The 27,053-nt window shown below is 47.9% G+C and overlaps 1 protein-coding gene across 25 annotated transcripts in view, besides 2 other annotated features; it reads right to left on the bottom strand.

Moving 5' to 3' along the window:
• Positions 1 to 27,053, bottom strand: part of TNS3 (tensin 3) — a 307,433-nt gene that overhangs the window by 99,732 nt on the left and 180,648 nt on the right. For 24 of the 25 annotated variants that reach the window (XM_047420733.1, XM_047420729.1, NM_001410878.1 and 21 more), the window contains 3 exons: positions 25,900 to 26,029; positions 25,508 to 25,573; positions 21,915 to 22,019 (listed from right to left, as the gene is read on the bottom strand). In XM_047420733.1, coding sequence (XP_047276689.1) covers positions 21,915 to 22,019; positions 25,508 to 25,573; positions 25,900 to 26,029 — 301 coding nt within the window. Of the gene's footprint in view, positions 1 to 5,919; positions 6,266 to 21,914; positions 22,020 to 25,507; positions 25,574 to 25,899; positions 26,030 to 27,053 lie in introns of those variants that run through there. The other variant, XM_011515484.4, reaches the window with a different exon arrangement.
• Positions 4,721 to 5,584: an enhancer, noted in NCBI's record as "H3K27ac-H3K4me1 hESC enhancer chr7:47419203-47420066 (GRCh37/hg19 assembly coordinates)". NCBI's record gives its function as "activates a minimal SCP1, AML or CMV promoter by ChIP-STARR-seq in naive H9 embryonic stem cells {active_cell/tissue: H9 hESC(naive)}" and the evidence as "EXISTENCE:reporter gene assay evidence [ECO:0000049][PMID:30033119]".
• Positions 25,589 to 26,498: an enhancer, noted in NCBI's record as "H3K4me1 hESC enhancer chr7:47440071-47440980 (GRCh37/hg19 assembly coordinates)". NCBI's record gives its function as "activates a minimal SCP1, AML or CMV promoter by ChIP-STARR-seq in naive H9 embryonic stem cells {active_cell/tissue: H9 hESC(naive)}" and the evidence as "EXISTENCE:reporter gene assay evidence [ECO:0000049][PMID:30033119]".

The raw sequence follows: 27,053 nt of genomic DNA on the forward strand, positions 1-27,053 counted from the left end.
GGTGAGGAGCCCCCACCAGATGAGGGAGGCTGCAGGGCTTTAAGTCTCCACTCTGTCTCTGGCACCTGATGTGCTATTAGGGCTGACACTGCTGTGAGGAGGTGGTGGGGTAAGGACAGAGTTCTAAAAGGTGGGGTCCTGCCACTCGTCTGCTCCTTCCATCTTTTTATATCATTAAATAACATATTTTAACATTTTGCTTCCATCTCAAAGGGAGCATGGGGAAGTCTGAATCAACCCTCATTCTGCAAATTCAGAACCTAATCTTAGAGTGGGAGGAAGTAACTTGCAGGGATGCCATAGCTCTTCAGCTGCGGATGCAGGAGGAGAACCTTTCCACATCTCAGTCCAGGGTAAATCATCCCATTCGGTGTCCCCTTTCCCTTGCGTTGCCACCAGACCCAGCCAACGAGCATCAAGGACCTCCCCTCCCAAGGGAGGCTGTCCACTGTCTGGCAACGATTTCCTGGTGGCCAGATCTTAGTTAAAAATCCAACAAACATAAATACAGCCCTGAATGACTTTCACTGCATGACATACCAGTGAGGTTTATCGCCTGGAAAAGGACCAGAAGGAAGAAAATACAGAGCATACATTCTTGTCTCCTTGGAGGACTTGCAGCAACAGACTTCCTCACCCACCTTCCCTGCAGGGGATCCTTCTCTTTCCAACCCAACCCTGCTACTGAAACGTGGCTTTCCCACAAGGAGGTAAGAGGGTTAAGAGGCACTCAGAAAGTATTTCAAAAGTCACCCAAAAAATGGAGAAGACCAAAAAAATATATGAAAACATCCCTTCCATCCCGGTTGAAAACAGATTAGGCAATGCCCAACTGTGCTCCCCGGCATGCTAACAATCAGATAGCCAAAGGGACAGCTGATCTCACACTTCAGCACCCTCCATCATCAATCACTCAGCAACCAAAAATATTCATCACTGATGTGTAATCCACTGAACTGTCCACTGGCCCTGCTTCCAACAGAAGTTGGTTTGAAGCAAAGGAAGGACAAATCTGATAGATTTATGAAGCGACGTGGAACCTTTCCTTTTTCTAGGTATTGATGCTAAGAATCTCATGTTCTATTTTTGTGACAGGTGTGCTTAAAAAGTAACTTTTTCATTTCAAAAGAACTAACAGTATCCTCCCTGCAATTTTTTAGTTTCAAAGGAGAAACTAGAAAATTCTTCTCCATGAAAGTTGGTTAGAATTGACTAAGCACTTGCTATGATTGCTAGTCATAAACGGGGACTTAAAAGCAATACTCAGCCCAGTCCTGATGATGTGCTGGAGAATGGACAAGCCCCCTTGGGGAACAGAGAGAGAAACAAGAGATGGAAAGGGTGGTGGGCACATTTCACGGCATCCGAATAGACAGATCAACAGAGGCAAGGGAAAGACGGAGCAGTGTGTGAGAAGAAAGGCATCCACTGATGCTGAAGCAGCCACCCTCAGGTGAGCCAGGTGAGGCTGCAGGAATTGGCATCTTCATCACCTGACAAACAGAGAGAATTCTGGAAACACCCCTCTCTTACAACTCAGCTGACCTCCTAAAGACAAGGCCACCGTGCAAGCTCCTCCCATGCGCCCAGCACACTGTTAGGCCCCAGGGATCCTACTCAATTCCCAAAGCAATCCTGTGAAGCAGGAAACGGGAAGTCCATTTTACAGATGAGAAATCAGAGGCTGAGAGAGCCTGCACTAACATTAACGATTTTTTTTACAAGCCTACTGAATAGAATATCTGAAATTTAAACCAACCTCCCTCCACTCCAAAAAAAGATAAAATTCTAATCCTAGTCAATCACTTTTTATATTTCACAGATCAACTATCTAGATCAAGACACACACACACACACACACACACACACAAACTCATATACACCTCACTCACTCTTCAGAGACTATTAAGTGCTTTGTGCTTTCCTCCCTAACTCCTAAAATTATTCATTATCAGGAACAGACCCTTGTGGTGTCACAGCCGCTGCAGTGATGGTCACAGTTTTTGTTCCGTTTCTTAAAGCTAGTGCATTTCTATCCTCACAGTTAGTGGATCGGGTGCTGTTCCTAGCATGGAGTCTTCAGTTCTCCCACACACCCATGGTACCAGCAGCCCCATCGGGGTCAGGAGCCATGGATATGCCAGAGGTCCTGCCTGTGCCTGGACCACCACAGGGAACAGGTAGCTTCTCCAGACACAGCCAGGAACCATCCTGTCCCTAGGTCACCCTCAAATGACTCACTTGGGGCCGTCCAGCTGAATCAATTCACCATATCCAAACAGTCCCAATAAGTGGAGGCTTATTGGAATGATGTCTGCAGCTGCAAGTGCCCATGGTGGGCTCTGACAACCACAGCCCAGGGAAAATGCTGAAGACAGAGAGGCTTCGGTTTCAAAAACGAGTGCTCATCTGCAGGCAGTCTCCTGGAGGGGTCTCAAGGACTATGCCGAGTGAACACTGCCAGACTCAAAGGGCTCGACTGTACGACTCCACATAGGTGACATTCTGGGGTGGAGACACTGTGTCTGGACACAAATGGGTGTGGTCGGGGCCAGGAGAAGAGTGGGGCTGCAAAGGGTGTGAGGGATGGTTTGGGCAATAGAAATATTTGCGTCTTGATAGTGGTGGGAGTGTCATGGCATAATGTTTGTCAAACTCAGACTACTATATACTAAACAGAGCAAATTTTACTGCATGTAAATTGCATCTCAGTTAAAACAACCGTTGTGAGATCAAGACAAAAATGAGACTCACAGCAGACTAGACCCCAACCTGAGGTGGCTCCTCTTGATCTCCTCCCTTCCTTCCCTCTTCCTCTTTTTCCCCCTCCTCCCTTTCCTCCTCCTTCTCCTCCTCCCTTTCCTCTTCTTCTCCCTCCTCCCCTCCCTCCTTCTCCTTCTCCCCCATGCCCTCCTCCCCCTCTTCAAAGGCCTTCCCTCCTCTTCCTAAATTCCATGAGACAATGGAAACCCTCTCTCCTTGGGATAACGATCATAGTCCCTTTGCGCCTCATTGTCACATAAAGCGTCTTTTGACATTTCCATTGGAGTGATTCATGTGCACACCTTCCCTCCCCTTCTAGAGGTTCTGGCATAATCCAGGCTTGAGTCCTGGCTTGATCATAGCTGTGTGACTTCAGATGAATCACTCCGCCTTTCTGTGCCTCACTGTCCTTGTCTGCAGAGAAGCAACCTGGAGAAGGGGGTGTTTGCTGATATCAGCTCCCAGGACCACTGGGATTCAACACAAAAGGCATGGCACACAGCAGGCATTGGGCAAACCCTCCTTTCTGTGCTTTCCCCCTCTCTGGTCAAGTGAAGAATTCCCAGAACTCACAAGTGATTCATGTGTGGACCCTCTGGGTGCAGAGCTGAGGGACAGAGGAGTGCTCCATGAACATCTAATCAGTGAGTACACAGAACGCAGGTCCACTGACCTCCCGTCTCGAGAATTACACTGAGGAACTGTTCTCTAATATAAAGCTATGGTGAAAGATGGGTTTAAAAAAACGTATTCAGAAGTTCCCTAAGTCATTTTTTGATATGACTGAAATTGTCCCAGGCACCAACTTTGCTAACCATCCACCCAGTGCGACTTTATGGCCAAGCTGCCCAGCTCAGGATCTTACCAGCTGTAAAACAGTTTTCCCATCCCATACTTTGTTTGTTTCCTCGGTGACTGACAGCAATGATGGCAAAAGCAGCAGTAATAAGCTAACTGGGCAACCACTGTCTTCCAAGCACTTCGTACCTATTGTCTCATTAGGCTCAAACCAAACCCAGAAGGGGTATGGATTCTCCTCTGCTTAACCCACAAGGTTAGGGGGATTGCAAGGGACCGAAGCATGTCCAAGTTTCATGGGGGGAGGGCTAAGGGTTTTCTGGCAGATTGTGTCATGCACACCCAGGGTTCCCATCACTGCATCACATGACCTCCCCTCAGCAGTGAGAGAACATTTCTCCTGGATTTGCTAGGTCAACTGACACATGAGCCATGGCACCGGCGCTGGACTTGTGAGTTTTCCAGCAGACCATTCAGTTGATGGGTCTGGTGCTGCACAATGTGGAACAGCCAGTGGGGGTTTCAGTGCTGGTGAGGACAGGTGCTAAGGGACTGCCTGGATTTCAGGCTCCGGCGCATGGAAGAGTCCATCACCAAGCCAGGAGGGCTGAAAACTAGGCTGTGGCCCAGAGCACAAGGCAGGGTTGAATGGGGTTAACAATGAAGCAAGGGGCATTCTCACATTTGCGAGGAGGGGAGGTACGGGTAGCCCGGGCAGTGTCCCAAGGGTACCTGATCCCTGGAGGCCTGGTAGGGGCTGCAGACACCGAAAGACCTTCCCAGTCAGGAAGCGATATCTGAGCCAAGAGGTTCCTTCTCAAGGGGCGTTGTATTATCTTACCCATAGCATATGCAAAAATCACTCTCGTTTTTTCCATGTGGACATTTATAATTAGAGCATGTATAACCTCTCACTCAAACAAGGTCTGCTTTAATTTTATTACAATAGAATTCTGACTCTTTGCTAATTAATGATTTTTGGAGTTTTTATTAAATCATTTTCTATTCCACAGAAAATTCAAGAGCTAAGAAATGAGGACTACACTTGGGTCTTTGAGAACACTGCTTTTAATCTACTAAATCAGATACTCTATGATTTTGATATATTTCAAGACGCGATGAAATGTGCCCTTTTCCTCTTTTTTTATTTTTGTTTTTACAAAAAATAAAAGACGGTAATAAACTCTACTCTGTAGGGACAACTCTTTCTCTCCTTAGGCAGAATAACTCCATTCTAAGGCATTGCTCCCTTGGTGCATCAGTCTCACCTTGAGAGTTAACTCCTTCCCAAGCCCCCAAACCCAAATCACCCTCTGAGCTGCCAGGAGGGGAGGTGCCCAGCAGGAAAGAGGCTGCAGCGGCAGCACCAGGACACCTTGCTGAGACTGCCGGAGGGCGCTGGAAAATCCCTCCCTCTGAAGTAAAGCTGAGCTGCTTGCTCACGCTTTCTAAAAATGAGGCAGACTGTAAATTCTTAGAGAAATATAGAGCAGAAAAAAAATTAACAAAAGCAAGAACCAGAGCAGAACCTTCCACACAGAAACGCCTGCCCAGCCACACACTGCCTCTCTGGGAAGGGAAGGCATCCCACTGCAGAGCAGGAGCGACTCAGGAGCTGGGCCAGATTCCAAGCGCTCCCGCGGTCTCCTGGGTGAGGCTCTGGAATGTGGCGATAAAGGAGCACTGTGCTCCGAGTGGGGCTGTGGCAGGCGTGTCACAGACGCCGCCAAGGTGCCCCCACAGCCGTACTGACAGCAGGGCAGGCCAGGGCGGCTCCCCGGGCAGACCTCTCACACCAGCACGCCGGTGCAGGCTCAGCATTCAGCAGGCGCCTATCTCAGGCCTCTGACTGGGCAGCTCAGTTCCCTTTTGGGCACTCCTAACTGAAAACACAGGGGCCCAAGCCCAGAGGAAAAGAGGAGGTCCTGTTGGCCTTATCTGAGGCCACCCACGCCGGCTGGCCACAGAGGCGGCCAGAGAGCTTGCAAACAGCATGTCAGACCATCACTGACTCTTCCCCAAAAAGAAGTCAGTAAGTTAAGACTCCTCCAGCTTGCAAACCAATAAAGGCATTCCTGGACAAGTCCTGAGCGACATTCCTTCTTGCCCGGTTAAAGCATCCGTTCTGCTGATTATTCCACTCCATAACGCCCTCTCCTCCTGGCTAGTACCAGCTCTTTTCCTCTGGAAGTCTTGGCAAGTTGGTAAATCTCAGCAGGCACACAGCTCAGTTTCAGGTCTTTGTAGCATTACAGAAGCCACACACATGCACACACACACTCACCACACAGGCACAGACACACATACACATATGCACGCGCGCGCACACACACACACACACAAATGCTCTCTGCTTACCTTCCTTCAAAACAGCCCAGCGGCTCTCTCAGTCTGCACCTCTGAGCCCAGTTTTCCTTGACACAGGCTTTCACAGCAGGACAGTGGCATGCCAGAGGAGGGCGGGGGCGTGCCACCTCCCTCCCAGGCACCTGGCCTCCCACTAGTGTAGAAGGTAAAAGATCTCCTTGGCTATGTAGGGACTTTGATTCCGCCAAAAAGGCCAGGGCAATGTAAATAAGAGGGTGGGGTTTGGTGCACTCAGGTTGAGTGAAATTTGAACTCCAGAGGCTGAAAGGTGGAGAAAGAAGCTCCTCCTGGGAGTCCCTCACCAGGTTTCTGCCTTCACTCCTGAGTGTTCTGAACTGACGTCCAGGAGCCAGCACCAACCCATGCAGCTTACAAAGCACAGTTTCAGCCTCCTTTTGCTTTCTTCAAAGTAACCAGGCGGAAAATCTTTGCCACACATGCTCCATCTCCTGGGAGCTGTCTCTCTGTCTTTTGTGCGGGATGTGGCTAAGAGTACAGCGTGAATGTTCACTGCACACAGCATATTTTGTGTGGTTAGCCCAGACCTCCACGTTCTGTGTTCAGTGTAGCAGATCCTTTTCATCTCAGCCTCATTACATTCAACGTAGGTGGGCTTCAGACAGTGGCTTACTCTTTGCTTTGGCTCAACATGGGCCACAATACCAACCACACACTTTTACTCTTTAAATGAACAGAATATGACACAGCAAACAAGCAAAAGCCCGTTCTGATGCCTTCAGGTTCCCACAGCACAATGGAAACCCTTTTAAAAATCACCAATCAGCCATCCAGGGGAGACAGGACATACCTGGGCTATAAGTGCACGCAGAGGGTAACAAATCTTTTAAATCACCCGAGATGGCCACATTGGCATATGTCGCTTACAGGAGGTTAAGGTAAAACTCAGCGCACCCTTGGGAGAAACAATCTCTTTTATGATGAGACATAATGCACTTATTGTGCAAAAAGTTCTATCAAATTTGGTATTCTTTAAAGGGTATTGGCTAACCCACCTTCCTATCAAGAGAACCGAAATTATTGTTACCATTCTGCAAATGATGTGATCACTGCAATAAAGGCAGTGACTAATTTATCACAAAATACTTTGCTTTAAAGAATACACATCAAACGAAAAGAGATTAGAAGTAGTGAATACAACGCAATGAATGTCCGAGTCTCTCCTGAGCACCGGGGTCTTTCCAAACTGTAGCTAACTGTATGTCTAGATATGGCTAGGGGGTCCCAGCCTCCTACAGGATACAAATCTTAAAATCAGACCACTGCATCACAAAACTGTGCAAGAAAAGCAACGGCCAAGGTACCTTTATCCATTTCTAATGGAAAGAGGCAGCAGGATTAGTTGTATGTTCAAAAGGAGTGTTTCCTTTCATGTTGTTCTGGGTTGGGCTTGATTTGGGTGGGGTTGGGGTTTTTGTTGTTTTGTTTTTCGGTGGCTGAGGGCAAATTTTCTTCATGTGGATGACAGCTTTGTAAACGGGCTGCCATAAGCCTTTGTGAATATATGGCAACAGGCACCCACTGGTCTTCAGATCTTGTTTACGTAGCTGGCAGCCACTGAGCAGGCAGGCTCAGAACGCTCTCATTTTCTACAGGTTCCCTGCTAATGGGTCTTGATTATATGGAGCCTGTGCAGGCTGTTAGTATTAACCTTTCTTGAAACAACGTGGTCTTTTGAAGCTTTGCTGATGTTTGGCCAGAAGGCAGTTCTGTGGCTCAGAGTGTTTTGAAAGCCCCCAAGCCTTTTCACCCTGAAGGGTTGTAATTCTGTGCAGGAGGCTGGCCAGTCCACCCTTAGTATGTGCGGGGGATTGGTTCCAAGACACCAGCACCCCCCAGTCCCCCACCACCCCCTGTGAGTATACTAAATCTGTACATACTCAAATCCTGCAGTCGACCTCGAGGAACCTGAGTATAGGAAAAGTGGACTCTCCATATACACAGATTTCTCATCCTAAATACACCGTATTTTCAATCTGTGTGTTGGCTGAAAAAAATCTGCATATAAGTGGACTCACACAGTTCAATTATCGTTCAAGGGACCACTGTGCAGCTAATGAAGAAAAGACTTGTTGAGTTTCCCGAATATCTCTGAAAATAGCAAGCGGGACAGGAGGTTGGCAGTATGTTTAGTGCCACTCCTATTTGGGACTCCCTAAAGGCAGAAGAAAATTCCAGAATGGGAAACCAATTAGAAGGATGAGAAAAGATGTGGAAATTTCAAAAAGTAGTGGGAAAGATTAGAGGTATAAGAATATCCTAGGGCCAAAACACAGACAAGAATGTTCACAGGCAACGTTATTCATACTAGACAAAAAGTGTTACGAGCCCAAATGCACACCAGCTAACAAATGAATAGGCAGAGTGTGGTGTGTCCACACAGTGGCACACCACAGCCATGAAAGGATGGAGCGTAACAGGAATGCAGCTGGAACACAGGCTGAGTGAAAGAAGCGAATCACAGAAGGCCACTCATTGCACGACTCCAGTGAGTGAGATGTCCGGAATGGGAAACAGAGAGAAGGAAAGTAGCTTCGTGGTTGCCAGGGGCTGAGGAAAGGAGGAACTGGGAGTGACCACTAATGAGTACAGGGCTTCTTTTGGGGTGATGAAGATGTTCTGGAATTAGATAATGGCGACAGTTCCACAACCTTGTGAACGTACTAAAAATCAATGCATCGTATACTTTAAAATGATTAGAATGGTAAATTTATGTGCTATGAATCTGATCTCAACAAATAAAAAGTAAGAACATTCTCAGGCTAGAAACCACATGGTAACAAGGGCATATTTAGAAAGCAACGGCAACCAGCCCGAGGCTCGCACATGCACTCAGGTTTTATACAAAGCGTCTGGGGACAGAGGCAGGCTCTGACCCCAGGTAGACAGGGGATTTCTGCAAGGGAGCCTGGGGCACACAACATTCAAGGAGAGAGAAGACACTCTCTTCTGTGCACTGGTCACCGGAATGAAACCGACACTGTGATCACATGCTGCACCCTCTAGTGCAGGGTTCCAGGCCAAAAGAAAGCTGTCCACCTAGACAGATCAGGGTGTGGCTTCTGAGGAGGCCATTACCTGGACTGCAGGTCAGAAAGTGACACGCAGGGCCTCCTGTGAAGTTCCTCCTCATAAGGAGAGACACATGAAAGTGACATCTAAATTCAGATAGCTTCTGGTAGAAAGTTCTGATTTGAAAACATGACACCACCAACTTTCAACAAATGCAGGTCCCTCCAGCCCGTGACCACCCATTCTCCCCCCACTGTCTCCACCGTTTGCTCCTCTCCCAACTTTCTTTCCAAGGACTCATCCTCCTGAGCTGACATCCCTACCTGTCCACCACACTGAGCCTGTGTGATCCCTGCTCCAATGTCAGGCCCCTCCCCACCCACATGGGCAGACAGGCCCGTCCCAGGGGGTCTCTGGAGGGGCAGCTGTGTGCCTAGAGGCCGGGAAGGGGCAGCCTGTGCCTCCTGCACTCCACTTCAGAACACTTTCACCCAAAACTCATTTCTCTCTGGAAACTGGTACCCCTGGCTACAGCGTTCTCCAGCCCTGCGGGCTGCCATTGCCCCTCACTTCCCAGCCCATCCCCCAAACGTCCATGCCTCCCTTGGTCCAGGTTCAAACACTCTCATCACCGGCATTTCTGTGGCTTCTCCTGGGAAACCATCAACATTTTATTGAGGCCCTGGCCTTGACTCTTTGGACTTTAGATAACTTTCTTTGGTTTGACTTTAGAATTTCTCATGACATACCCTCAACTTCCACCAAACTTTGAAAGCCTTGAGCTCTTCAGGAGTGGTGGCCAGGACTCTCCTTTCTCTAGCAGCCGCTACAGCTCCCTGGCTCCTGCTCTTCTCTGCATGTATCCAGCCCTTCCCTCAGCACAGTGGAGTCACAGCCAATGTATGTTTAACTCCAGCACCAAATTTAAGACATCGAGGGCAACACAGATCCATGGTGCTTCCTCTCCTAGCCCATCTAGACCCACAAGGCCTGCTGTCTCCCTCGCCTGTGGCCCACGTCCATGCCCCTGCTGATGTGCATGCCTCTGAAATCACAGAGGCCGTAACAGTGTGGCGTCCACACATCACTGGGCACACCACACTGCTCACCCAACAACCACCTGTTGCCAGGGGAAGCTCCTCCAAGCTGTCCCAGCTCTCAACACCTCCACTCCCCAGACTGTTGTCCACTCCCAACAGACAACCTCGCCTGCCTTGTACAGGTCAAGTGACGCCACAGCCAGTGAACTCACTCCCAGTCTGCTCTCTACCCTTCTCTGCATCCTGGCTCCTGCACCAGGCACCCTGCTTTGGACACACTCATGGTGCTCTCAGTCTCCTGCCTCTGTCAATCCAGTCCCTGCCTGAACTGAGCTCAGCACATCAGCAGAAGGAGATTCACAGCCGGCGACCAAGCCCCCACTCTTGGCTTCACCAACTAGCCCTCTGACCCCTCAGTGTGGTAAAGATTAGATATGTTAATGCAAGCTGCATGCTCGGAAGGTTGTGCAGCTCGTGAGCAGCACTCAGCAAGGGTGAGCTCTGACAACAACAACCATTAGCCATTCCAGCCCTGTCCTGGCCTCTGCACGGAGCTGTGCCATCCAATTCAGCTCTGTATCTGCAGCATCCAGCACTGCCGATGCTCAGAGAGGCAGGGAGGAGATGGAGACTGCATCCTGGATCCTACAGAGCCTGCCTGACAAGCACACGTGGCCTCTGGTTTTCTTTCATGAGCTTCCCAGAAGGTGACACTCTGCCTTCACTCCCCAGGTGACCTATTGGAATCCTCCGATTTATGATTAACAAGAGAGCAATATATTACATGTACAGGAATAAAGAATGAACTCCCAATACTACGAGAAAGATGGTTTCCTCGCAGCCTCTTCCCACCCTCAGGAAAGCACCCATAGTGCCCATCACTCGGTGGCTCCCCCGCCGCTTTTCCTTCTGCCTCATCCTAGTCAGGGGCCCAGCAGCATCCCAGACTCACTGCTACGAGTTCAGGGGCAATGTATGGCTACTGCTGCCACCAAAGGACGGCTGTTGAGATCTTGGCAGAATTCCCACAATCAATCAACACCAAATCTTGCTATTGCTCTAACCGTTTGGCCTAATTTCAGTGAGAATATATCCCAGGTCATAAATTAGCTCACATTCACACTGACAAAAATAAATACTATTGAATTTTCATAGTATAATTTCCCATAGACTGTCAACACCATGAATCCTAAATTAATTCAACTTTCCATAGTGAAGTCTGAAAGACTACTATGTCAAAGGGTGTATTTTCCTTGTTAAGAAATCATCACTATGCACTTATAAAGAAACACTAAACACATCTCTGGCTCTTGCTATGTGGAAGAAAACTTCCTGGGAGCAGTTGTACCCTCCACCTAGGCCCTATCAACTGGAGGGGGTCCCCCCACATCCACAACAGGCAGGTGCAGGCGGAGCGCACACAGGACATTTGCTGGGGACGCCCTCCTCCTGTCCACAGAAACCTGTTTTCCCAGCTCCTGGGGTCAATGGCTTTCCCTGCACTTCGCATCAGTCTCTCGGGCCCTAGGGATTTAAATCTGGGCTCCCAGCTCCAGAGCAACTGTCACTGGGTGTCCACCCTCGACAGGCCTTGACCTTGGCTCCCTCTCTGTGACATGCTCTAATAACACTCCTGGCTCACATAGCAAAGTGGTCACCCTGTCTCTTACCCCGATCCATGGACCTCCATGCCAGGTCTCCCCGACAGACAGCCAGGCAGGCTCTAGGTATATGGCTGTGCTGAGGCAACGAGCCGAGGCGGTCTCAGCTTTGCTCAGCCTGGCATGCGTCCCCATCCAGCACAGTGTCCACAGGGGGAAAGGAGTGCTGTGAAAACCAGCTTTCATCCCCAAAGTAGGTCAGAATTGCTCCTATCGGCAAGATAAACTGAGCAAGTCTGAAGATCCATTAAAGCTCGCTTTTCTTACATAACAGCACAAGCTGCCATTATATCAACCCTGTTTTTCAAGAAATAGCTGGATGTTTTACATAAAATATCCCTGCAATCTGTGCTATGTTAAAAAATTTAAGTAAGGAACACACCCACTAGTCTCTGACACCTATGCCTTCTACCTCACATGCCCTGCCCTCCATGGCATCTTAGATAACAGTAACAGAATACAACAACTGCATCCCCTCTGTCCTTGGACTTACAGAGAGAGTAAGTGACAATTTATATGCAACTGAATGCATGTTTAACATCAAGTAGCTTGCTTGTCAACATTTAAACACAACTTTAACTATCTAAAGTCCCAGAATCAACTGTACAGGGCCAGAGTGCCCAACTTTCAATAGCAGAACTTGATCTTCAAACAAATCTTTATGCAGAAACCCAATATAAAAACAGAAAAAGATCAAGGTGGGGCTGGGGCTGTGGAGGGTTCTTACAGGAGTGGATGGAGAGAGACTGGGGCTGCTCCTTAAGAACCAACTTGGAATCCTGGAGCCACAGGCATAGAGTTTGAAAGCTGTTGACCCCAAGAGTGTTGTTACTCCTAAGGTCAACGCCAGCACCAAGAACGTCACTCTAAAAGGCAGAAGAATCATTTGCTTAAAGGGAGCGTGCATGTGGATGGTGGTCTCCTAGCCCAGATGGCCGAATGGGGCCAGAGATGCAGGCCATGAGGGTGCACCTCCATGTAAGGGTCCCTGTCCCCATAAGGACAAAGGACCCAAGTCAAAGAGATTGTCCCAGCTGCACCTTTTGTATGAACACCTCCCTTTTCCACTAAGTCATCCGCAACCTTTCCCTCCCCTAGGAGGCCCTGGCAGCTCCATCTTGTAGCACTTTCCAAAGAAAGAAGTAGATGAGACAGTCTTGCATGCATAATCTAAAACGCCTCCCCAGACATTCCTTCAAGGCTGAAAGAGAAGAGCCAGAGCACGCACAAGTTCTACTCTTCCAGCCAAGGGCTGAGGAAGATGGTGAGGATGACCCTGTGGGCCGGGCACACAGAAGCATGTTCATGTGAGGAAGAGACTCTGCTTTTCTTCAGTCCCAGCCTCGTTCTCTCTCACATTTTGGTTCTGTATATCAAATACTTAAAGTCAGCAGGTGCTCTCTTTCCCCGACTTGGCACAAGTGCAATTGCAGGCTCTTATAGACAGGCACAATGAAGTTGCAGCCCTGCCTCTTCCAGGCAATGGAGAGAAAGGTTCTACGCACGGAAGACACAGATGGAAACTCAGCAGGTTTGATCGCCTGCCATTCAGGCCCCCTACTCCTACCAGGAGATGGACATAAGAGCACATCTGGGAATAGGGGCTTGACTGAGATGTGACTTAGAAAGGGGTGGCAGCAAGGGCCTTGTAAGAAGAATAAGGACCAAACCCTCATTACACCAGGGTCTACACACACACATACACACACACACACTGCTGCTCACGCTAGGTGTGAGAAGCTTCGTGGCTCAGGGTCCCAGGGAGACTGTGGGGATGGAGCCCTCTTCCAGGTTCATGTCTCAGGGAATCCACCAACAGAAGAACAGTCAAGGTTGTAGTCCCCATAGGTGGGAATTAGAGTCCAAAGATCTGCAGCTTTGGGGAAGGAATGTAGGGCAGGGGCATGAATCATTGCATGCATGTTGGTTAAGTGGGCAGGGTCACCAAAGAGCAATGGAGATACTGATCACAAACAGCAGAGGAAAGTGAAAAGAGATTAAGAAGCACAGCTCCTCTGGACTCTAAGAAGACATAGTAGGCCAGGCGTGGTGGCTCACACCTGTAATCCCAGCACTTTGGGAGGCCCAGGTGGGCAGATCTCCTGAGTTGAAGAGATCGAGACTAGCCTGGCCAACATAGTGAAAACCCCATCTCTACTAAAAATACAAAAATTAGCTGGGCATGGTGGCAGGCACCTGTAGTCCCAGCTACTCGGGAGGCTGAGGCAGGGACAACTGCTTGAACCCGGGAGGTGGAGGTTGCAGTGAGCCAAGATTGGGCAGCTGCACTCCAGCCTGGGTCTCAGAGCGAGATTTCCTCTCAAAGAAAGAAAAAAAAGAAAAAGAAGAAGAAAGAAGAAGAAGGGGAGAGGGAGAGGGAGGAGAAGAGAAGAAGAAGGAGAAGCAGAAACAGAAGAAGCAGAAGCAGAAGAAGCAGCAGAGGAAGAAGAAGAAGAAGGAAGAAGAAGAAGAAGAAGAAGAAGAAGAAGAAGAAGAAGAAGAAGAAGAAGAAGAAGAAGAAGAAGAAGAAGAAGAAGAAGAGGAAGAGGAAGAGGAAGCGGAAGCAGAAGAAGAAGAAGAAGAAGAAGAAGAAGAAGAAGAAGAAGAAGAAGCAGAAGAAGCAGCAGAAGCAGAAGAAGCAGAAGAAGAAGAAGAAGAAGAAGAGGGAGAAGACACAGTAACTACAGAAATACAAACAAGCCATCCACCTTGTAGACCCGTCTGCATGCACAGGACACCCCGTCCAGTGGGATATCGGGGGTACCCTTCCTCCCAGGAAGCAGAGGAGGCCCAAGGTTTGTGTGCCGACTGGGGGTTGGGAGGACCCTGAGGACCCAGGACAAATCCAGCCAACTCTCAGCACCTCTTTCTCTGTCCCAGGGGGTGATGCTACTTAACTATTAAGGCCACTCTTGTGGGCTGATTTCTGCAAACTTGTACAGGACAACATACAACTTGAGCCAATTCCTCTGATTCCTGTCGGATTCGAAAAGTAACGAACACTTAATGAGATGGCGGCTCAGGGACTGGAACAACTCTTTTGACTGCCCCCAATGCCACCCTCCTCTTCTGATGGAGTGTATCAATTTTTTGAAAGTAACACCCACATGACTTGATCCTGGTTTTAACAGAGGGTACGCCTCTCGCACTTGAGACAGGAGGAAGCCGGCGCCCCCAGGCCACTCTCTCAGGTGACATTGAGGAAGATTTGCTGTTTGGTCTGCGATCACGCCTGCAAGGGGGTCCTTTGGTGTTTGTGGGTTGAAGGCTTGCTGCCTCAATTCACAATCAAGAGATGCAGAGGGAGGAAATCTCAGGCTCAGAACAGGACTACCCGCCCATCTGGCCCGTTTCTGTCTCATACAACTTCAGTTGCCTGATGACAGCTGCTTTTCACTGGAGCTATCTAAGCAAGCAATGCTTAGAAAAGCCTGGTTTGGGGACAAGACCTAAAGAAATATTCTTCTGCCTGGTGCAGAGTCAAATGTCATAGGGTGGCTGAATACCATGCAAAGAGCCCTGGAGCAGCTCTCAATGCTGGGGGACAGCACTCCACGTTGCCAACAAGGACCGAGGCTGCAGACACAAGGCACTGTGTATACCCAAGCACTCAGCAAAAAGCAGAGCCAAGACTGAAGGATCTGTCAGGTGCCATCGGCCCCCTCCTCCACTAAAGTTGTCAAAGTTTACTTCAATTTCCAAATCTTAAAACCCAACAATGTCTGGGGAGGAAAGTTTTCAAATCCATTTTCAAAGTGGCAATACTTGAATGGTCTCAGCTTGATCTGGCACTTCCGGGCCAGCTCTGCACACTGCAGCCAGCACTTCCTGACCCAACATGTCCTCGTGGTAGCCCATTCCTGGAGCTCGGAACAGTACTCTGAGAACGCGGTATGGCCACTTCAGGACTGTGTCTTATTGCGAAGGCTGCAGACAAATGTGAATCTCCTCTGTCTGCCTGCTCTAGCAGCCCCATGGGAGCCCCAAAGCGTGGATTCTGGGAATGTTCATCAAGGTATCCACTTAAAGTGGCAGAGCCCAGGCCTGGCAATGCCACGGCCCTCGTCCTGCACACTCTTGGATTGGTAAGTTTGAGCTGCACTCAAAAAGTCCTAGGTCAAGGCAAGAAACCAAGGACAAGAGTGACAGAGCAGGCCTTCATCTCCAACCCTCAGACATTCTTGAAGCTTCCCTGCTGCTCAACCCTTCCTCTAAATCTGTCATAGAGTCTCACTCATCTACCTCCTAAATATCTAAAGGCCCCTACTCTCCATCGCCAGAGCCACATCCAAGTCCAGGCCTCCGTCAGTTCTTAGCTGGGGAGTCCAGAAGCCCATTCTCTACTCTCCTTCCTCTCCAGACTCTGCCTCCCAGAGGGCGTCCTCCAGCCTCTTTGTTATCTTTCTGTATCCTCCAGTCATGTGGCACCTGGGATCCTCACTGTCACCCAGCAAAGAAGCCAGGCTCAGGAAAGGAAGCTGACATTCCCCCGATCTCACGATCCACCACACACAGCACCTCTTACTTCCTCCTGCACACACCAGCCAGGCGGAACACACTTCCACCCCGTGAATATGTGCTGCTCGCCTATGCCCCATGCCCAGGGCTAGGCATACCCTGTCTGCCTTCCCTACCTGCAAGGGCTGTCCTCTTCGTGAATCTCCTTGGATTGTACAGGCAAAGTGGTTGTTTCTCTTCAATTCTTTCCTAATTCCTGGTACCCAATTATGGTACACGGTGCACCCTGTGGCAACAACTGATGTATATCTGTGTCTTCCCAATTAGAGGGTCTGCTGTGTTTCTTCCTGCGCCCACCCCAGCATCAGAGCCATGGCAATTCCCAAGAAAATATGAGATGCGTGAATATGACAAATGGTGTGTATGATAACAAAAATCTCAGAGTTGGAGGGAGGTATCTTTAGAGTCATCCAATTACAACAGGCCACTTTACAGACTGGGAAAGTGAAAGGGAATGAGGCTTATGAGAGCAAGTAGAAAGCACCCCAATGGGGAGTGTGGCCACTGACACCGACGCTCCAGAGATGTCCAGCGAGGAAAATGAGATGTTCTCCATAGGGCTCAGCAACATGGGGGTCCAGAGCTTTGCAGAGCCTCCCTGAAGAGTACTGTGGGGACAATCCTGGTGGTGACAATACAAATCCAGGGACACATATGCTGCTGTGGGCATTCCCTTAGACCATCACAGCAAGTCTGATCCTGAAAGAGCAGGTACATCCTGCTAGGGTAAGAAATCCCCCCACCCACAGCCCTCTTGTGTGACGAGGAGGTGGGGCACCCAGTGAGACTCAGCCCAGTCTCACTGAGTCTCAAAGTCTCAAAGAGGAAAGTCAAGGGTATGAGCCCTGTCCCGCACGGTCTCGAGCACAAGACACACTCTGAGCCACAGCTGCCATCGCCGACAGTGTACGCCAGAAGGCTACCAGGGTCCCTGGCCAGTTACTAGCTTTTGATTTCTCTTTGGATCTGCTCTCTTTATCTCTAAAATGGGCTCACAGGCTCTCTCGAGGATTAAAACACCATAGTGAGGCTTCCGGCAGGCAGCCACACTGTGTGCCGCGAGATATTCTTCCCTCTCCTCAGGGACAGCAACTACCCCAGGGAACACTGACACGACTGCCGTCCCCCGCAGCCACCACCTGCCAGGACCACAGACCCACGGGGAGACCAGGACCATGTGCTCCTCTCTGTGCTGAAGACAGGGCGTTTGTAATCACTTGCCCACATTGGAACGGATTCAAGGCCGGCTCCTTTCTGAGTATAGAAGCAGAATGTTGCGCTCACACATCAAAGCCAGCGCTCCCCTAACAGGCCCAGATTGAAGGCAGCTGCAGAGGGCTCCATTCCAGGACGGCAACCACTGCTAGAGATAAATGCGGCTTAAGTCAACATTTTTGGGGTTTTTTAACCAGGCGGCGGGGGGATAGAAAAGGCAGGGGCAGGGGTGGAAAAGAGAGTGCCGCAATACATCATTTTCCCAGCTAAAAGAGAATGTTTCAGAGGCTGCCAAACCTTCCTTAACTCCTCAAAGCACTGGACAGCTCTGAAGACTAAAGCCCTGGTGGGAATGCGGCTGGGACTCAGCCTTTCACCCGCCAGGCGGCGTCCAGTCCAGGGACCTGAGCCAGGCACTGCTGACCGCAGGCAAGAGCGAAGACTGCCTGGAGTAATAGCTCACCAATGCAGCACACCGGCCTCCATGCCAAAGAGGGGCTGAGGAGGGCTGCAGAGTGGAAGAGAGGAGGGAAATTCAACAAGGATGAGTTTTCTATCCAAAGGTGACTACTCTTTCTGGGGAACACCTTCTCAAAAGGACCCAAGCCTGGGGATTCTGCAGAACTTTGATGGCAGAGGTGGTGATGGCAGCCTCGTGTCTCACAGGGAGAACTTGGAAACCCTGCAGGAGTGCAGCAATAAGATCAAACGCACTTTGGAAGCCCCTCTAAGGGAATCCAGTGTGCTCAGTGAGAAGGACATGGGAAGAAAGTTTAAAGATGTGCACAGATGCTAAAGGAGGTGGGTTAAGTGAAAAACTCAGGCTATAAAACAATGCACAGGCTGATCCTACTATGAGAAATTACATGATATTTAGAAATCATGCCAAAAATACACCAATGACGAGTGCTTCATCTCTAGACAGTAAGATGGCGGTAATTATTCCTTCTTTTTGATAATTTACATCTTCAAAAAATATTGATACAAGCTTAAATGTATGTAAAAGAAAGAAAGAAAAGCATAAAACTCATTCCATTGAATCAGGTACCCCAGACACGCCAGACAGCACGTGGGGATGGAGGGTCAGGAGGAGGGGATGCAGATTTGAGGAAAGGCTCCGTGCTTGTCTGTAACTCAGGAGCTGGAATTCTCAAGAATACTCAGGCAGTGGTTCAAGGGAAGGTTGCTGAGATCCAGTTTTGGGAGAGGACTCAGATTCCGTGTGGCGGGTTCTGGGCTAAGCATCCGGATACCAGTCCTGAGCTCGCTCTGAGTCCTCCCCTGTCACTCCACCTCCCTGGGGGTGCTCATGGGCTTCAGATATCATCGAGGCTGCAAGGGATGAACCAGGCACTGGGAGGAGGCTGCACTCTCACCCACTATATCCCTGAGGAGTCTGGGCATGACTCTGCCCATAAAGGGGGTCTCTGCTGCTTTATGAAGCCTGGAAGCAGTAATGACAAAGCTGTGAATCTGGCTGCAAAGTGTACCTGGCTGCCTTGGCGCCCTATCCGACTCCTCACCCTCCTGTCTGGGAACCACTCTTTCCCGGGTGTCCTTCCCACTCTGCCCTGTCCTTCTCAGTTTCTTTCCAGAACTCCTATGCACCCACTCCCAACTGGCTCCATCTTTTGCATGGCAATGCCAGACCTTCTCTACTCGCCCCTAGACCCAACTCTCGGTGACACAGAGTCCCGAGTGCATGCCCAGACCATCACCTGCATGGCTCCACCACCTCCAACCACACAATCCATAGCAGTCTCCCACCTGCTCACACCACTGGCTCAGAAGATGCTGCATGAAAAATACACCAATGGGAATTGTGATTTGTAATGTCAGGGCCTTAGATATTTAAAGTTCAAATTGCTTCTCTAATCATTCATTCAAGAAACACGCATTGAGTATCTGCTATGGACTGAATATTTGTGTCCCCTAAGATTCATATGTCAAAACCTAATCCCCAGAGTGATGGTATTAGGAGGCAGGACCTTTGGCGGTGCTCAGAGCATAAGGGTGGAACCCCTATAAGTGGGATTGATGCCCTCAGAAAGGAGGCTCCAAGGAGCTCCCTCTCCTCACCACCACGTGGAGACACAAGAAGGCAGGAGTTGGCAACCAGATGACAGCCCTCACCAGAATCCGCCAGGCTGGCTGCCTGATCTTGGACTTCCCAGCCTCTCAAAGTAGGAGAAATACACGCTTGTTGTTTAAGACACCCAGGTTATGGTCATCTGTCAAGGCAGCGTGAATGGGCTGAGAGGGCCTCAAAGTAAAGAAGTATCTCCCTCTGCATCTTCAGGAGACACTGCGGTGGCTGAGAGTCTTTAAGACTGAATTCTGTCTATTTCACCCAGTGATAACGGCAAGTCCTCCACATGTATGGATCTATACACACACGCTCACACACATAATTCCACAGATTCTCCGTAAAGTTTCATGTAACCCCTAAAGGATGGTGAACACTCAACTGATTTTCTGTCTATATGTTTTCTACATAAAATCAACGTAGGTCCTTCACCACCTGTGAGTGACATGCTGCAGGCGCCCAGCTTTCAGTTCCCTGGTTGTGACATGGGAAGGATAAAGCCTGCCCCGCAGGCAGGTCACAGGCTTAGCTGGGAGCCAGCTTGGGGACAAGAGCGGGGCACCCAATGAGGGACTGAGCACAGAGCTGCCCTCCAGAGCATGCTCCTCACAGGAGCTGGGGCTCCTCCACACTGTCCACCGGACTTCACTGCTCCCCTCTTACGGCATTGGCACAGAGAACACCCACCTGTGTTTTAGAACCCCTGCCTCCCTCATGGTCAATAACCCTCCAGGCTCGCCCCTCCCTTGGCAAGCAAGGAACCTCCCAGCATCACGAGAATGACCTTTCCACAACTCGCCTCCCTGTTCTCCATGAGACTCGGCACAGCCACTGATTCATCACCTCAGGACAGAGCGCTGCTCACTGGCTCCCATGCAGCAAGGGACCTCTCTGGTAAAATCCACTCGCCTCAGCCTGGAATTTAGGATGCTAAGTCAGCTGTCCTCAGAGTCCCCATCCAGCTCTCCAAATTAGCCCCTTTCCCCATCTTGCCTTGCGATGATTATTTACACACTTCACCAGCCACCGCTTCACCCTTCTCTCCTCCAGTGGAAAACATCACCATGTGATGGACAGAATATAGCTATGCAGATGCAAACAGACGTTACTGGAAAAAGAGCTCTGTGATCAAAAAGTTTGATAACTGTTGTTTGATAAATCTTATGAAATTATTCTCACAGCTTTAAGATTCCAGTGTGCACTGTGATCTTTTGAAAGACAATGTATCATTTTGCAAGAGTTTTCAGCTACATTTCTTTTAACGTGCTGGTTATCTGGAAGGACTGGTGTGCTGAATAATTCACACCAGCAAAGAACACTCTGTTTACTTTACAGGCCAGAGCAAAGCTCTCCCCGTCCACAACTTGCCCACTAGCCCCAGATATCATCTGTGTTTTAATGTCCTTACCATCAACATTCCATCTGTGGGTCTCCACCTCTGGTCTAGGTGTATTTGGGTTGCAACAATTCCTTGAGTTGAAATTCCATCCCACAAGGCCTATGAAGGAGCAAGCTTTTCCCCAGGACAACAGAGAGGAGCCATGTGCTGCCCTGGGACACACAATTGGTGTCCTTTCTCACTAACCACAGACACCCCCTTCCTGGAGTCATGGGAAGCTCAGCGATCCACAAAGATGAGGCGCTACTGCAGTTCTTTCCACAACACTTGCTTTTAGCTATTTTACATCTGGATGTAACTAATCTGACAAAAAGTGTTTTAATTTCTTTCCCAAAGCAAGTCTGATTCTCAATCGGTGGTTGAAAAAGACAAGGGATCAGCATGACATGCTAGGAAAAGCCTCAATTCCCCTCCTTTGAAATCAGCCTCCAGTTGTGTCTTGTGGAGATTCCAGCACACAGCTGCCCCTTCCTTCCTTTCCTCCTTCACGCTCCTAGCTATGACCCAATGTGCATATTACACAGGTGAACAGAGGACATGTTTGGGTGAGACGGTTTCACGAAAACAGAGATTTAAATGATACAGCCATAAATCAGGAACACTAGACTAACAAGCAAACAGAAATTAAAACAAGATGTCTGTTGCATGTGGGGCCGTACAACAGTAGCTAGTTTGGCTGTGGCCAGCGCTTGGCATCCCCATATGCAAAACGGAAGGGACGGAAGAAGGGGGAACGGTCCCTGGCATTATACATACACACAAGTTCAGGCCAAGGAGCTCCTGGATATAACTTCACTGACAGCTCATCCACCCGTTACAGCTTCACAAAAAGCCCTGACCCAAACTCACCATGCCTTATTCTCACGAAGACCCTCAAAACTCACAACTGTGTCACACGAAGGTGTGATTCTGGACCTCTGAGAAAACAGGGGAAATTTTTTCTTCTTAGCAGACTGCAAAATACTTCAGATATTTGAGTGGGCTGTCTTCCCTGTGCCCTTTGCCTCCATAACTGCACACAAGATGAACACACGCACCTTCTCCATCTGCACTGAGGTTCTCGTACGAGTCCCAGCGTATCAGTGGGTCTGTTGTGTTGTAGTCCACAATCACACCGTGGTCGTTGTACAAGTGTTCGGACCCTGCACAGAGCACAGGCAGCAACATTAGTCCCAGTGAAACCCATCACCTCCATCCAACCGACTCCACCATAAGGACAGGTGAGCAGCCTGACTTGAGCAGGAGAGAGAAGCCTCTCCATCCTCCACCCTCCTGCCAGGAGCCACAACACTAATCAGAGACTGTGGAGGATTTTCCACAACTAGAACCATAGTTAAAGCCACGAGGGGGAAGGGATAAGTAAGCACTGATCTTTCGTCCACTGTGAACCAGGCTTGGACACTTCTGCAAAACGAGTCTTCAGACCACCTCACTGATGAGGACACAGAGGCCCGGTAAGCTGTCTCTGAGCCTCAGAGTCCACAGATTTGAATCCAGGCTCCAGGCTCTCAGATCCACACTCCTCCCTTCAAGTCTTTTTAGGAATACCAAGGGGATTTTTAACACACAAGCCATGTATTTAAAGGTTTTTGCCTAAATCTATGACAATGAACATAGAAAAAGCATGATTATTTCCACAGCTATTAAAAAGGGAAACAAAACTCCCATGCATGTGGATCTTGGTGATGGATCTGGACAATTCACCTTGATGATAAAGGGACTGGTTTCTTTTGAAATATATTTTTTAGGGAAAAAAATTGTTTCGCACATAATACTTGCAGCCTACTATACTTCTAATTCTCTTTTTAAAATGCTGGTTACTTTGGGGTTAATGATGAAATCATGATGGAAATTTAAAAATTCCTTGAAATGAATGATAATAGTGACACAAGTTATCAAAACCTCTGGGATACAGCAAAGCAAGTGTTAAGAGGAAAGTTTATAGCACTAAATGCCTACATCAAAAAGTCTGAAAGATCACATATTGACAACCTCATGTCACACCTCAAGGAACTAGAGAAGCAAGAATAAACTAAACACAAAGCTAGTAGAAGAAAATGAAAAACAAAAATCAGTGCAGAACTAAATGAAATTGAAACAAAATACAAAAGATCAATGAAACAAAAAGCTGGTATTTTGAAAAGATAAACAAAACTGATAGACCATTAGCTAGATTAACCAAGAAGAGAGAAGATTCAAATAAATTCAATTAGAAATGAAACGAAACATTACAACCAGCACGAAAGATCATTCAAGACTATTATGAACACCTTTATGTATATAAACTACAAAACTGAGAGGAAATTGGTCAATTCCTGGACACAGACAACCCTCCTCGATTAAATCAGGAAGAAATAGAAACCCTGAACAGACTAGTAAAAAGCAGTGAAAATGAATCAATAATTTTTTTAATGCCAATAAAAAAGAGCCCAGGGCCAGATGGATTCACAGCTGAATTCTACCATCCATTCAAAGAAGAACTGGTGCCAATCCTACTGAACAATTCCAAAAGACTGAGAAAGAGGAATTGTCCCTAACTAACTCATTCTATGAAGCCAGTATCACCCTGATACCAAAACTAGGAAAGAATATAACAAACAAACAAACAAAAAAGAAAATCACAGACAAATATCCCTGATGAACATAGATGCAAAAATCTTCAACAAAATACTAGCTAACTGAATCTAACAGCACATTAAACAGATAATACACCATGATCAAGTGGATTTCATCCCAGGAAGCAGGGGTGATTTAACATATAGAAGTCAATAAATGTGATACACCATACAAACAGAATTAAAAACAAAAACCATATGTCATTTCAGTAGATGTGAAAAAGGCATTCGATAAAATCTAGCATCCCTTTATGATAAAAACACTCAACAAACTAGGCATAGAAGGGACTTACCTCAAAATAATAAAAGCCATGTATGACAAACCCATAGCCAATGTCATACTGAATGGGGAAAGGTTGAAAGCATTCCCCCTGAGAAGTGTAACAAGACAAGGATGCCTACCTTCACCACTTCTATTCAACATAGTACTGGAATAGTACTGCCAGAGCAATCAGCTAAGAGAAAGAAATAAAGGGCACCTAAATCGGAAAAGAGGAATTAAAACTGTTGCTATTTGCCAATGATATGATCATATACCTAGAAAACAATAAAAACTCCTCCAAAAGACTTCTAGATTTGATAAACGAATTCAGTAAAGTATCAGGTTTCAAAATCAATGTACACATATCTGTAGCACTGCTGTACACCAACAATGACCAAACTGACAATCAAATTAAGAACTCAATTCTTTTTACGACAGCTGAAAAAAAAAAAAAAAAAAAACTAGAAATATACTTAATCAAAACGTGAAAGATCCATACGAGGAGAACTACAAAACACTGATGAAAGAAATCAGAAATGACACAAACAAGTGGAAACACATCCCATGCTCATGGATTGGAAGAATCAATATACTGAAAACAACCATACTGTCCAAAGCAATCTACAGATTCAATGCAATTCCTATCAAAATACTAATATCATTCTTCACGAAATTGGAAAAAAAAAATCCTAAAATTCATATGGAACCAAAAAGGGGCCCAAATGGCCAAAGCAATCCTAAAAACAAAACAAAACAAAAATCTGGAGGCATCGCACTATTGGACTTCAAACTATACTAAAAGGCTATAGTTACCAAAACATCATGGTATAAAAGTAGACACACAGATCAATGGAACAGAATAGAGAATCCAGAAATACAACTGACTACAACTGATTGATCTTCAACAAAGCATATAAAAACATAAACTGGGGAAAGAATACCCTATTTAACAAATGGTGCTGGGAAAACTGGCTAGCCACATGTAGAAGAATAAGACTGGATCCCCATTTCTCACCTTATATTATAAAAATCAACTCAAGATGGATCCAAGATTTAAATCTAAGACCTGAAACCATAAAAAGTCTAGAAGACAACCTAGGAAAAACTCTTCTGGACATTTGCCTAGGCAAATAATCCATGACTAAGACCCCAAAAGCAAATGCAACAGAACAAAAATAAGTAAATGGGACCGAATTAAACTAAAAATCTTCTGTACCACAAAAGAAATAATCATCAGAGTAAACAGAACCCACAGAGTGAGACAGAATATTTGCAAACTATGCATCTGACAAAGAGCTAATATCCAAAATCTTCAAGGAACTCGAACAAATCCTCAAAAAAAAAAAACAAATAATCCCATCAAAAAGTGGGCAAATGATATGAACAGACATTTTTCAAAAGATATACAAATGGCCAACAAACACATGAAAAAATGCTAAACATCACTAACCCCCAGAGAAATGCAAATTAAAACCACAATGCAATACCACCTTACTCCTACAAGAATGGCCAGTCATGCCCAAGGCTCTCCTGGCTGAGTGGTTGTGAGCAAGTCACGCCACTTCTGGGGCTTACTGACACAAGTGGGCCTTCTTGTTCCACTATCCAATATCCTACATTTAAATAAAATTAATCACAGAAATCTCCAAATATGCACAAAGGCAGGAGACTAGTACTACAGCCCCAGCGTAGCCATCATGCACCTTTCACCAGTGTCAGCAAGGACCACCCAGTATTCCACCAAGCTACCCACCTTGAATCTTCTCAGGCGTGGCAGAGAAGACTAATTCAACCTTCCCATAGTCAGGAAAACGGTCATCTGAAAAAAACAATGTATTTTAACACATTTGTGGAGACAATTAACCGGAAAAGTATGGACTGACTTTGTCCTTTATTCCAACCAGTACAGCACCACTCCCAAATCTGCAATAAAGACACCCCATGATACAGAAAGTATAGGCAGTTTCATTGGTTATCCATAATTTTTTTCCCCCAGGGATCAATGATCATTTTCTCCTACTTTGGGAACAATTTTGTCAGTAGGCTGAATTTTGGAAAGAGGGTAAAGGGGATAGTGAAAGAATCAACCAAGGAGGTTCAACCGCAGCTGCCCACAAGCACAGGGCCGCCAGCTCCGCGCCTCACCTTTGCTGGCATTGTCCAGATCCTCCTTCCCAAACACCAGCCCGTAGCCCTGCACAGCCCCAGTGTGAAACTGCAGGCGGAAAATGACGTCACGGGTGGCCGAGCGGTATTTCTTGTGGTAGCATTTCACCTGGGTTAGAGAGACAAAACAAAACAAAGTAGCTGCAGCGGGGGACACACGTTCCCGGCAAGGAACACACTCCGCGGAGGCCGGCACAGCAGGGCCTCCCCTCTGGACTCTGGCTGGGAGTTCACGCTTTGGAGTGGAACTTCAGCCCTGGGGCACAGGCGCCTGCAGACAGCTGGGGTGCAGGCAGAGGCACCACACTGCTGCTGCTGGGTGCGGGGCTCCACTGGAGGCTTCAATGTGTTCCCTGTGCTGCTCCTGTGGAACCGCAGCTCTGAACACCACTATCGCTAGTCCTCAGAGAGGCCACACCTAAACCCTTTCAGACCACGTGAATGTGCCCTGTTTTGGAACACATCCGAAAAATAGAATTCCATGGTCTCTTTTTTCTAGACTTTAACAACTGATTGTGATAGCTTTTCTTTGATCTCAATGCTCCATGTTGCAACTTAAAGCTTTTTGTTTTCCAAAAAGCAGCAGCCGGTCATTACTGTGTGTACTATCCTAAATGATTATGTGCATGCTGTAATTTAGAGACAGAGATACAAAGAAGGAGGAAGGGAGAGAGGGAGACAGAGAGGGTGTTGGCATTTAGACAAGTGTTCAGAATCACCCTGATGTGATCTGAACTCAAGCTGGGGTTCATGAGGTCCCCAGGGTGCAGCTCAAGCACCCTAAATGATTGTGCCAATGAGCCAAAGGGTAGAGCAAGCCCCTCCTTGCAGATGCTTGGCATGTGGGGAACGGTGGGCAGAGCAGGAGCCTGAGTGTCCTGACCTGCCTGTATAACTAGGTCCCCCCTGCTTCTTGTGACCGTGCGCAGCACTGGCATCATTGGAAGGGTTCTCAGGCCACAGCTGGGGGAGCTGCAGGGACAGGGATACCCCTCACTCAGAGATCAGGGGCAGGACCACCAGGTAGTGGCACTTTCCCAAATCCCCAGAAGGCCGAAGGCCCTGGACAGGCTGGATTCTGCTCTCAGACCAAATCGTGCACAGGCAGGTACCTCCCCAACCCCGAGGCTGTG

The sequence above is a fragment of the Homo sapiens genome, chromosome 7 (genome assembly GCF_000001405.40).
Source record: "Homo sapiens chromosome 7, GRCh38.p14 Primary Assembly".
Lineage (NCBI taxonomy): Eukaryota > Metazoa > Chordata > Mammalia > Primates > Hominidae > Homo > Homo sapiens.